Source organism: Homo sapiens, chromosome 10 (genome assembly GCF_000001405.40).
Source record: "Homo sapiens chromosome 10, GRCh38.p14 Primary Assembly".
Classification (NCBI taxonomy): domain Eukaryota; kingdom Metazoa; phylum Chordata; class Mammalia; order Primates; family Hominidae; genus Homo; species Homo sapiens.
In genome coordinates, this window is record NC_000010.11 from 37,177,499 (window position 1) to 37,189,954 (window position 12,456).

At 35.2% G+C, this 12,456-nt stretch overlaps 1 protein-coding gene across 7 annotated transcripts in view; it reads left to right on the plus strand.

Moving 5' to 3' along the window:
• The window catches only part of ANKRD30A (ankyrin repeat domain 30A), a 140,297-nt gene that overhangs the window by 51,901 nt on the left and 75,940 nt on the right, over nt 1-12,456 (plus strand). For 4 of the 7 annotated variants that reach the window (XR_007062015.1, XR_930524.4, XM_011519757.4 and 1 more), the window contains exons 26-33: nt 168-258; nt 3,259-3,300; nt 3,824-3,852; nt 3,946-4,018; nt 8,015-8,043; nt 8,142-8,214; nt 10,460-10,521; nt 11,969-12,059. Coding sequence is in view for 5 of the 7 variants with exons in the window: in XM_011519757.4 (XP_011518059.1) it covers nt 168-258; nt 3,259-3,300; nt 3,824-3,852; nt 3,946-4,018; nt 8,015-8,043; nt 8,142-8,214; nt 10,460-10,521; nt 11,969-12,059 (490 nt within the window). In the remaining 2 variants the exon portion in view is untranslated. The remainder of the gene's footprint in view (nt 1-167; nt 259-3,258; nt 3,301-3,823; nt 3,853-3,945; nt 4,019-8,014; nt 8,044-8,141; nt 8,215-10,459; nt 10,522-11,968; nt 12,060-12,456) is intronic. The other 3 variants (XM_047425990.1, XM_047425992.1, NM_052997.3) reach the window with 2 other exon arrangements.

Genomic DNA, 12,456 nt, shown 5'->3' on the forward strand with positions numbered 1-12,456 from the left:
GTTTTCTATCAAAATGTGTTTGTTTTCTACATGTATCTGCTCTTAAGTCGAATTGTTTGCAAAGGAGGAAATTGTGTTTTTAAAAAAGAATTTAATTAGGAAATTTTGATACTCTTCATTACTAGGATTTATCCATTGAAATTATTTATTGCTATTACTTTTAACAGAGTCTCTGTGAGACTGTTTCACAGAAGGATGTGTGTTTACCCAAGGCTGCGCATCAAAAAGAAATAGATAAAATAAATGGAAAATTAGAAGGTAAGAACCGTTTTTTATTTAAAAATCATTTGACCAAATATTTCTCTAAATTGATGAGGAAGGATATCCTCTAGTAGCTGAAGAAAATTACCTCCTAAATGCAAACCATGGAAAAAAAGAGAAGTGCAATGGTCATAAGCTATGTGTCTCATCAGGCATTGGCAACAGACTATATTGTGAGTGCTGAAGAGGAGCTGAATTACTAGTTTAAATTCAAGATATTCCAAGACGTGAGGAAAATGAGAAAATAAGAAAGAAGAAAGTAGTAATAGAGTAAATGAAGACTGAGAAAGACAGAGCGTACAGAGAGTACATGAAGGAACAAGAAACAGGTTTATGTAATGGAGGATGATAAAATGAAATGATTGTTTAGGAAAAGATCGGGTATGGTTAGAAATTTGGGAAGAATATAATGTGACCTTCTAGAATCAAAATTTACCAGAGAATTACAGCAAAAATATTCTGACTCTTAATGTCTTTCTCACTGGTGGGAAGCCATTAGGGATGGAAGCACCTGACCATGGAGAGCTGTGTTCTATTTGCAATAGGTGAGAATAAGCATATCTGCACGGCCACACATGTATATAAATTGTCATATACACTCCGTATAGACCAGAGGTTTTCAAACTTTAGAAAGTCAGCTGAAAACCTTGTTAACAATTCACACTGAGATTCAGCCGACCTGGGATTCTGCATTTTTAAAAAGTTCTCAGGTGATGCTGATGCTGGTGGTCCTTGGACGTTGCTCTGGGTAGCAAGAGGAGAGGCCTTTTGTGGGAAAAATGTGGAAGCAGAGCAACTGGATAGAAGGTCAGGACAGAAAAGGTCAGGAGAAAACATCATGGTCCTCTTAATTTTGAGGATGTTTTTAGTCAGGGGAGAAGAAGAAAGGAGCAATGCAATAGAAATTATAGATGGAAGGTACTACCACTCCTCAAAGTAAAAGGAAAGAGTGGGAAAAAATAATTTTAACAGGTGTCGAATGGGAAGAATCAAGAGCACAAGTCTAGTGATTATTTTTGCTAAAGCAGAGAGATTGTGAGGCAGGAAGCAGGGGACAAGAGAGAAGCCAGCTAGATGATTTTGGATTTTCTATGAAGGAAAATGGAGTGAGCTCACTTCGGAAGCATTTAGAAAAGTTTTACTGCAGAATGTTAGAGTGTGGGTGCTCTGGAGACTACTGGAATCATGAGGATTACTAGAATTGGACTAAACCTCAGTGACTCATTAATTTTCTTTATTACTATGAGGCGTCAAATATATATATATATATATATATATATATATATATATATATATATATATATAGATGTGTGCATGTATGTATGTTTTTGACGTTCACAATTTGAATAAGATATACTTGAATGTAAGAACCTTGGCTTTATTTTTAAGGAAGCAAATTGTGTTGGTAAAATTGCCATTTTATAAAACCTCATTAGTAAATAACATGCTACACGAAACCAGACTAATTTTGAAAACCATAAAACTCTGAATTTATGACTTGAATACCTAAATTGTTGTTATTCGTAGGTATTTTACTGATTTTAACGTAGAAAATGTTATTAATATTTAAAAGTCTGTTGTAACTAAATTTAAATGAAATACATCAATATTGAAAGCTTATTAAATTTGCTATTCCTGATGAGATTTGTACATCTTCCTGCATGAGTGGATTAAGAGATATTGAGATGACTAAGCTAGAAATTACAAAAATGTTGGCATACTATTCCTACATTATGGGAATGAATACCCATATTCCAAGTATATGGGTATGAAAATCAAGGAATATTTATATTTAATATTATGCTCTAAGTATATATCCAAGCTGATCAATTCATAACACTTTTTCTGATGAGATGTCAATTCTACATTCAGCTGAACTCTTATCCGAACTGTGTGGCTTCTCAATGACAGGACATATTAAAGAACATGATGAATGTTTGTAATGCAATGATATAAATTATTATAATGTGTTGCCTTAAAGACACATGGTGTAGCATTCTACGTTCAGCTTTTGCATTTATTTTCTCAGTGTCATGATTTGCTCCTGTGATTCCAGATCAGTTGTCTCCTTATCAGTCAGCATATACTTATTGGTATTAACACTTTTTGCAAAAATCATATATAAATGGTTGTACAATGTTGTTGTCATTCTACAGCAACTTTTTAATTTTTGTTCAGCGATTAGCTTGTTTTTCATTTATTTTAAGATTTCAGGCCAGGTGTGGTGGCTCACGCCTGTAATCCCAGCACTTTGGTAGGCCAAGGTGGGTGGATCACGAGGTCAGGAGATCCAGACCATCCTGGCTAACATGGTGAAACCTCACCTCTACTAGAAATACAAAAAATCAGCCGGGCGTGGTGGTGGGTGCCTGTAGTCCCAGCTACTCCGGAGGCTGAGGCAAGAGAATGGCGTGAACCCGCGAGGCGGAGCTTGTGGTGAGCCGATATTACATTATTGTAACATTGAAATATGCAGGTGAATGATATATAAAAAGCCTCTGGAAGTTTACTTCTAGTTTTTGATACTTTCACGTTACGTGTTTTTTCTTTTTTAGAGACAGAGTCTCGCTCTGTCATCCAGGCTGGAGTGCAATGGCATGATCTTGGCTCACTGCCACCTCCAGCTCCTGGGTTCAAGTGATTCTGGTACCTCAGTCACCCAAGTAGCTGAGATTACAGGCATGTGCCACCATACCTGGCTGATTTTTGTAATTTTAGTGGGGACAGTGTTTCTAAAATAGTGATTTTGGCCAGGCTGGTTTGGAACTCCTGGCCTCCAGAGATCCGCCCTCCTCAGCCTTCCAAAGTGCTGGAATTACAGGCATGAGCCACTGCACCTGGCCTGTATTGGTTTGTTGATGGGTACGCTTGGACCTTTTTGTATAAGTGGATCAGGAAATTTTAAGAGGACTAAACTAGAGAACCCTATGAATGTGAAAATACTCGTATTTCACAGAGGTACAAAAATGAATATATTTATTAACTTTTATTCTATAGGTAGATATGCTGCTGAATTTAGAACATTCTCTGCAATGATAAGTACGTTGTACCTTTGAACTCTCATCACAACTTTGCAATTCCTAAACTCCAGGACAAATTGAAGGACATAATAGCTACATGTATATATTGACATAAGTGATTCTGACGTGTTTCCTTAACAATATGCCATAGCATTCTCCCATTAGCTTAGTCATTTATTCTGTTTTGGTGGGGTGTGGCATGACTTGGTCATCTTATTAAATACAACTTCTTTCCTAATACGGCCGCTTTCTCTTACTGATAGTAGGATATTTCTGCTTTAGTTATTGTCACCTTAAATATATTTTCAATGTTGAAATCCTCACAGCATGTTTGATGAAATCTAGTTTTCAAATTTTCTTAGGTATATTTCTGTCACGTTGGCATGATAACAAATGCAATAACCCAAAAGACCCCAAAAGCTAGTGTAATCCCTTTTGCAATCCAAGCATGAGGATTCATCTTCATGTTGACAGTGCGTGAATGTTCGGTAGGCTTTGTCAAGCTTGCATACAATAAATTATATATGTCCCTTTTCTTTTAGGGTCTCCTGTTAAAGATGGTCTTCTGAAGGTAATAACTTTTATATTTTTATCTTGAGTATTAACTACATATTTTATGAAGTATACATTGTATATTAATTGTTTTCTTTCCAAACCCATTTAGGCTAACTGCGGAATGAAAGTTTCTATTCCAACTAAAGCCTTAGAATTGATGGACATGCAAACTTTCAAAGCAGGTAAATTTTGTAATTTTAATTTTACTCTGGAAAGAAGAATATTAAAATATTTGAAATGCTGTGAGACTTTTCATTCCCAATGTTGTTTTCTATTCATAATTTGATGGGAAATTTCGATACAAATAATGCCAATGTGAGTATTTCTGTTTGAGAAAATGCCATTTACAAGCATAAGATTTAGAGATTTAGAAAAAAAATTCTGCTTTACCTCATGTGGTTCTACTTTAATGTCCTGATCGGATAAAGTTTCCAATTTGCAATTTCTGTACGCGCTTGGTTTTAAGGTAGGTGAATTTTGAGACTGTGAAATATTTGCAGTGGTTCGAAGGCTGATTGGAATTCTGATGTTTACTCAGAAGAAAGTTTCACTTGCTGACATGACAGTTGTGAGTGTTACCACTCTGAGAATCTTAAGAAAATCAGTTTTTTTTTTAATAGATGACTGTGTGTGTGTGTGACTTATAATTTTAAAAAATCAGTCAAGCAATCATTACTTGATGACTCTTTGCTAGGCACCGCATTTTAGAAGAGTGACCCCAAAGCATTTGGCCTTGGTGTGTTTTAATGCTACTGTAATGAATTGCCTAGAGATACAAAAGAGCCTGAAGTAGTTTTTGTCATTCCCGTGAACGTTTACAACATTTTACAACAGGCCTTGCACGGTGGCACATGCCTGGAATCCTAGCAGTTTGGGAGACAAAGGCGGGCAGATAAGTTAAGGTCAGGAGTCCCAGACCAGCCTGGTCAAACTAGTGAAACCCCATCTCTACTAAACATAACAAAAAATAGCCGGTTGTGGTGGTGGGTGCCTGTCATCTCAGCTACTCTGGAGGCTGAGGCAGGAGAATGGCTTGAACCTAGGACGCAGAAGTTGCATGAGCCGAGCTTGTGCCACTTTAGCCTGAGTGACAGAGTGAGACTCCATCTGAAAAGGTAAAGAAATAAAAACACAAAACTCACAACATATGTGTGGTTATAGACTATGTGTAGAATTTGTTTTCATGTCTTATAGGCTGTGTGTAGAATTTGTTTTCATGTCTTAAATTTTCTTTTTTTTTGTTTGTATTTTTTTCTTCAGTTTTTTTGTTTGGTTTTGTTTTTGTTTTTTTGAGATCACCCAGGCTGGAGTGCCATGGCGCCATCTCGGCTCACGCAAGCTCTGCCTCCCGGGTTCACGCCATTCTCCTGCCTCAGCCTCCTGAGTAGCTGAGACTCCAGGTGCCTGCCACCACGCCCGGCTAATGTTTTGTATCTTTAGTAGAGACAGGGTTTCAGTGTGTTAGCCAGGATGGTCTGATCCGGATCTCCTGACCTTGTGGTCCGCCCGTCTCGGCCTCCCAAAGTACTGGAATTACAGGCATGAGGCACCGTGCCCGGCCGATGTCTGAAATTTTCAATAAATAGTTGTACACTGTACATATTGTCCTGGAACTTCCTTGTTTGCTTATCGAATATTTTAGATGGACCCAATACAATTAGCTCTGCTTTGATTTAAGGCCTCATAGTTTGCCATGTTAACTCTAAAACACATTTAATTAGACTGTGTTTCCTAGCCACTAAAAGTCGACATTAAATGGCAGCTGATATCACAGAGCTTTTACTGAAGTGGGAGTATTTACTGCTTCATCCACTGTTAGAAATTAAAATGAAAATATTTAAAATACACGAATTGGAAAAGTCCTACTTTCCAATACGCATTACAACTGTTACTCATTAACCATGAAAATTATGACATTGTGACATGTCATGAGTCTGAAAAATTTTAGTTTACACTTTTTAGAAAATATCAGTAAATAGGAGAAATAGGAAAAACATTATGTGAACTATTAGGCCCCCGGTGTATTTGTTGAACTTCAGAGATGCTCAGATCAGAAGCTAGAACAAGAATTTTCAAAAATGCATAAGGTTTTAAAGTGCCAAATAACAAATGGGCTCTTGTATATGAAATAATGTCTGAAGTTGCACCTCTGAGTCTTTTCTCTCTTTTTCTTTTTTAAAAAGATATAAATCAAACAAAATCAAAATTTTGTTTATAATGAAAAGAGTTGGTTACAGATTCATTCTGTGTCTCATGGCACTGTGCTCTCTTTTTCCCTAGAGAGGATCTAGACTTTTCATCTGTTTACATGGGAAGAAGTAGTTCAGTTTATGGTCTCATTTCTCATATAAACTGTGAAAATTCTCCACGGCTTCACATGCTAGTTCAGAAGATATTGATGCCTTGAGAATAAAGCATCTGGTTGTAACTCCAGCAGTTTTATATTTAAAGTATACCTAATATAATTGTCAACCACATTACTTTAGAAAACATAAACAAAAGATAGTTACACTTATTTATTTAAAAAATGGTGACCGGGTGCGGTGGCTCACGTCTGTAACGCCAGCACGTTGGGAGGCCGTGACTGGCAGATCACGAGGTTAGGAGATCGAGACCATCCTGACTAACACGGTGAAACCCTGTCTCTACTAAAAATACAAAAAATTAGCCGGACGTGGTGGCACGCATTTCTAATAATTTCTCAGGCGATGCTGCTGCTGGTGGTCCTTGGAGCTTGGTCTGAGTAGCAAAAGGAGAGGCCTTTCATGGGAAAATAGTGGAAGAAGAGCAGTTGGATAGAAGGTCAAGACATAACAGGGTCAAGAGAATGCATTATATTGCTTTTATTTCTGGGTATGCTTTTAGCCAGAGAAGAAGAAGAAAAAGATAAACAGAAATTATAGATTTAAGATACTATCACTAAACAAAGAGAAAGGAAATGTTGAACAAATAAATTTGAAACAGTGTTGTATGGGAAGAATTCTACAGAGTTAGAGGTTTTTTTTTAATTTCTTTTTTTTTTTTTTTTTTTTTAGTAGAAGCATTCAAGTCAGGTAACGGGACAAACAAGAAAGAATGTAGGCAGGTAATTCTGGAGACTCTGAGAAGAACAGTTGAGTGAACTCACTTCAGATGCATGTAGATTATTTGCACTCCAGAATGTAGACTGTGGGCACTCCAGAGACTACCAGAATTGGGGGAACCACAGTGACTCATTAGGTTTCTCTGTTACAATCAGGCATGAGAAATATATATATTTTGTTGATGTTAGCTATTGAAATGAGATATATTGGAAACTGAGAACATTGGCTTTATGTTTAAGGAAGTGTGTTGTTTTGGTAAAATTGCCATTCCACAAAAATTTATTATAGACTAATGATACACCAAACCAGGCGAATTGTAGGATCTGAAAAAATACTGAATTTATACTTGAATAATAAGATTGCTTTTTAAGATAAATATTGTGGTGACTTAACAATGTAAAAAAAGTTACTTATGTTTATTTAATCTATTGCAATAAATTTTTATATAAATATGTCAATATTGAAAGCTTAGTATAGATTATTTCCATGATGAGTTTTACACATCTTGCATGAGTGGATCGAGAAGCATTCAGATGGATAAAGTAGAGGATACAGAATCATAGGCATATGATTACACCCTATGGTTATGGAAAAAAACGAATATTCATATTTAGTATTATGACCTAAGTGTATATCCAAGCTGATCAATTCATAACACTTCAGTGATGAGATGTCAGTTGTACATTCGGCTGAACTCTCATCATAACTATGTACCTTTCCAAAGATAGGCTATATTAAAGAACAGGATGAATGGAATAATATAAGTGATTCTAATGTGTTTCATTAAGTACGTGGCGTAGCATTCCATGTTCAGCTTTGACATTTATTTTCTCATATCAACCCTTTTTACACGTGAAACACAATCTCGCTCTTGAAGTCTTAACTGCATGATCTGTGAAACCTGTATTTATATTTTCTTCAGTGTATTCTTGTCGTGTGTGTGTCCTAAACAAACCAAAAGAAAACTTTCCAAATCTAAAGTATTCATTCTCCAATTGGAGCAAGAGGAGTCAGTTAGATACTATCACGGCATTCATTTGTGGCTGGCTTGTCATATTTACTTATGATTGATAATAAATCTATTTTGCTTTTTAGAGCCTCCCGAGAAGCCATCTGCCTTCGAGGTATTTAGTTTCATGATTTCATTTTGAATGACTTATTAACTATGTATTTTGTGAAGTATACATTCTTTATTAATCATTTTGCTTCCAACCCCATTTAGCCTGCCATTGAAATGCAAAAGTCTGTTCCAAATAAAGCCTTGGAATTGAAGAATGAACAAACATTGAGAGCAGGTAAATTTTTTAATGGAACTATGCAAAGACCAATATTTCAATATTGGACATTTTGATGGTCCTTCTATCCCCAATGCTTTATTTTTTTCAACTTTGATGAAAAGATTTGATCTAGGTAATGCCAATACTGGTATTGATGTTTGAAAAGCTGGTATTACAAGCACAGTAATTTTCAATATCTTTTTTTAAAAATGTAGGCTTAATCTCAGATGTTTCTACTTTTGTATCCTGAAACTGTAATGTTTTCTATTTTGAACTTCTGTATTTCTTAAGGATTCAAGAAGGTGAATGTTGAAACTCCAATTTCTTTTTTTAGCTCTTCGAAGCTTGATTCAAATTCCACGGTTTACTTCGGGGATCCCATCTCTTACTGATATAACCCTTGTGTTTTAACATGAATTACCTTGTTTCCGGTGTTGTCACTTTGAGAATCCTAAGAAAATCAGTAACTCGGACTAGTGAACTCTGTGTGTTTATGTGTGTGTGTGTCTGCGTGTGTGCCTGCGTGTGCCTGTGTGTGTGTGGTACCTTTACCTTGTAAAGATGAGGAAAGGAATTATTCATTTCTTTGTGAATATTTGATAAACACACTTTTTCATGAAACTGTGATTCTGAAGCATTTGGCTTTAGAGTCCTTTTACGCTAGTACCATTTATTGCCTGGAAGTAACCAATATTCTAAACTGTTTTTAGAAACTCTTCTTATGCATGTTTAAACATTTTACAACATGTGTGCGTGGTCATATTTAATATGTACGATTTTTTTCAACTTCTAATGTGTACATGGTTGTAGAGTGTAGTGTTCGGCAACATTCTTTTTTGATCAGCATTATAATTTTTAGAGACATCCGTAAAGGACACAATTAATTGTGTTTTTAAATATTAGGTTATTTATAAAATTCCATTGTATGACAGTACCATAGTTAATTGCACAATTTTTATGCCGAGAAGTAATAAATAAAACTGAAAACATGCAAATTTGGGAGTCTTTAAAAAGTTAGTTTTATCTGCTGATTTCTTAGTCATTAGAAATTAAAAGTAACATATTTAAAGTATTTCCTTGTGCAATCATACACTCCACTAAGAATTTGAACTGTGCCCCACAGCTTCTTAGAGCTATGGTGTGGCAACACGTTAGATCTCTGAAACGATCCAGGGTACGCTTCTAAAAATGAGTGAACATGGTGACTTACCAAAGTGTGATTTGAGTTTCCTGGACCCTCTGCATGAAATGTGAACATGAGCTATGCTGAGATCACAAGTTAAATTTACTTTTGAAACCAGGTATACAGTTGATGGATGTCAAATGATAAACGTATGCATAGTGATGAAACGGTCTTTTAAGTTTTAGGTGTGCATGTTTGCTTTTTTCCTGAACCTGATTCAAATAGTTGTAATTTGTACTTTGTGCTGATAAAGAAAACTGGACGTTATTTTTGGTATAAATTCTTTTTCTGTCTTATGTCCCTGAGAACTCGTCAAGTCTTGAGTGGGCCTTGATTTTATCCTATTACACGTGGGAACATTAGATTACTTAAGGCAATTATATTTTCCTATACATTTCTGATGTTTCTCCAAGGTGTCACAAGCTGACTCTGAAGATATTGTTGCATTAGGGAAGAAGTGTGTCATTGTAAATGAAGCAGTTCTTAATTTATACGCAATAAAAGTTTTTTAAGCTTATCTTCCTAAAGCTTATACACACGCAAAACACACCCAATACACTGTCATAGCATACTGAAATGTAAAAGGGTTGGACATATAGTTGACTGACATCAAAAAGTTAATATTTCTAAAACATCTTATTCATTGATAAATCATCTTTTTTGAAGAACTGTGTAAGAGAGATTGCTGAGTCAATCAATGTAAGTAATACTACCAAATAAAAAGTAACAAAGAAATGAGAGATGATAGGTAATTCCAGTTTTCTGAATGAACAGGAAACCTAGGGCATACTGCGCTTCACAGGAGAATAGGATATGACTGCTTTGTGAAGAGATAATTCATACAAGTTAGTTAAATTTCTATTTTTCTGCATTCTAATGAAATAATGTTAATTTTCAGACTTTTTAGATTTCAGTTCTATTGGAATGACTATAGAAGTAGTCATTGCAATCAACAAAAAGAATATACGGGCTACAGAGGAAAAACCTCAGATTCGTGAATGAAAGTAGATTTGTATATGTTTTTAAAATTTTTAGTAGAGAACTGTGCTCATGAATGTATCTGTGATTAACCTTTTATAGATGAGATACTCCCATCAGAATCCAAACAAAAGGACTATGAAGAAAGTTCTTGGGATTCTGAGGTACTATGTGTTATTGATTTTTTAAATATTAGTATTGCATGATATGAAAACATAAAATCAGATGCTTAGACTTTATGTTCTCACCTCTGCATGTGTCACCCCCAAATTATTTTTGATATTTTTCAGTATATGCTTAACGGAGAATCTGTGTGCTAAGTAGATTCCTGCTTCACAGTGAAATTCTGGGAATTTGTACGATTAATTTAAGAAGCCAAAGTGGTATAGTGTAAAAACTAAGGCTTAGAATTCACTAGAAATTCACATGGGATCTGGAGTACTTTTGTCTAAAAGGAAAAGAATTACACTGAGTCCAGCTATGGGCAAATATATGATTCTGTCTTATATCTAGAGGTAGAAAAGTTCTAATTGTATTCATAGAGAGACACTTTAAACTGCAATATTGTAAAAGTTGGGACCTGAAAATTTAATGCCTGGGACTTGAACGTATTGACATATCTTTATTGTTCAGTATAGATCTGAAGGAACATTTCAGCAGAAAGGAAAGCATGAGGAATAGGAAACCTTGTGGGAGTATAATAACAAGAGTATTGGTTGAGTAGTCTTTTGAAAAATATAAATTATATTTTCGCAAATAGAACTCCTTGAGTCCCCTTATGGCAGTCAAGCTGAAGCAGCATGAGCGTCATATCATAGTGATGTATTTTAAGGTCACAACGGCGGAAAGACATAGAAAGTATCTGACCTCTTAGAAACAAGCAGCTGCTGCCTGGTGGTAACAGCAAAGGGTGGAAGTCAATAGGTAGATTTTATCTGATATTTTATTAGACAGAAAGACTTTAACACTTGTTTGCTTTCATTTAGATGTGACATAATTTTTTTCTTACTGCATTTACATTCTATTCAAACACTTTTTCTATCACCAAAAATTTTGTCAAAAACATGTTGCTTATTTTAAGCCCCTGTTTACCGAAAGAAAGCAGCTTTTTCAAATTCTGTACATACATTCTATGACAGACTCTAAAAGTTCTCTTCGTGACATGCATGATTTTTAACAGTAAACAGTTCTATGATCGTGAATATTTTAAATGTTTACTGCTGTATGTGTCCCGGCAAGTAGCAAATGTGTTGTATTTTGTTTGAAATTTCTTATTTATTTTTGATGAGGACTAGAACGTAAGTTAGATATTTTTAAGAGAGATACTTTTTGAAATATGCACGAGTGAATTTTTTGTGAAGGTGATTTGTTTTTCCTGCTCAGTCACCGAGTTAATGGCCACGTGAACGTAAAGATGAGCTTGATGTAGAGAGGGTTATGTGAGGTTTTCTATCAAAATGTGTTTGTTTTCTACATGTATCTGCTCTTAAGTCGAATTGTTTGCAAAGGAGGAAATTGTGTTTTTAAAAAAGAATTTAATTAGGAAATTTTGATACTCTTCATTACTAGGATTTATCCATTGAAATTATTTATTGCTATTACTTTTAACAGAGTCTCTGTGAGACTGTTTCACAGAAGGATGTGTGTTTACCCAAGGCTACGCATCAAAAAGAAATAGATAAAATAAATGGAAAATTAGAAGGTAAGAACCGTTTTTTATTTAAAAATCATTTGACCAAATATTTCTCTAAATTGATGAGGAAGGATATCCTCTAGTAGCTGAAGAAAATTACCTCCTAAATGCAAACCATGGAAAAAAAGAGAAGTGCAATGGTCATAAGCTATGTGTCTCATCAGGCATTGGCAACAGACTATATTGTGAGTGCTGAAGAGGAGCTGAATTACTAGTTTAAATTCAAGATATTCCAAGACGTGAGGAAAATGAGAAAATAAGAAAGAAGAAAGTAGTAATAGAGTAAATGAAGACTGAGAAAGACAGAGCGTACAGAGAGTATATGAAGGAACAAGAAGCAGGTTTATGTAATGGAGGATGATAAAATGAAATGATTGCTTAGGAAAAGATCGGGTATGGTTAGAAA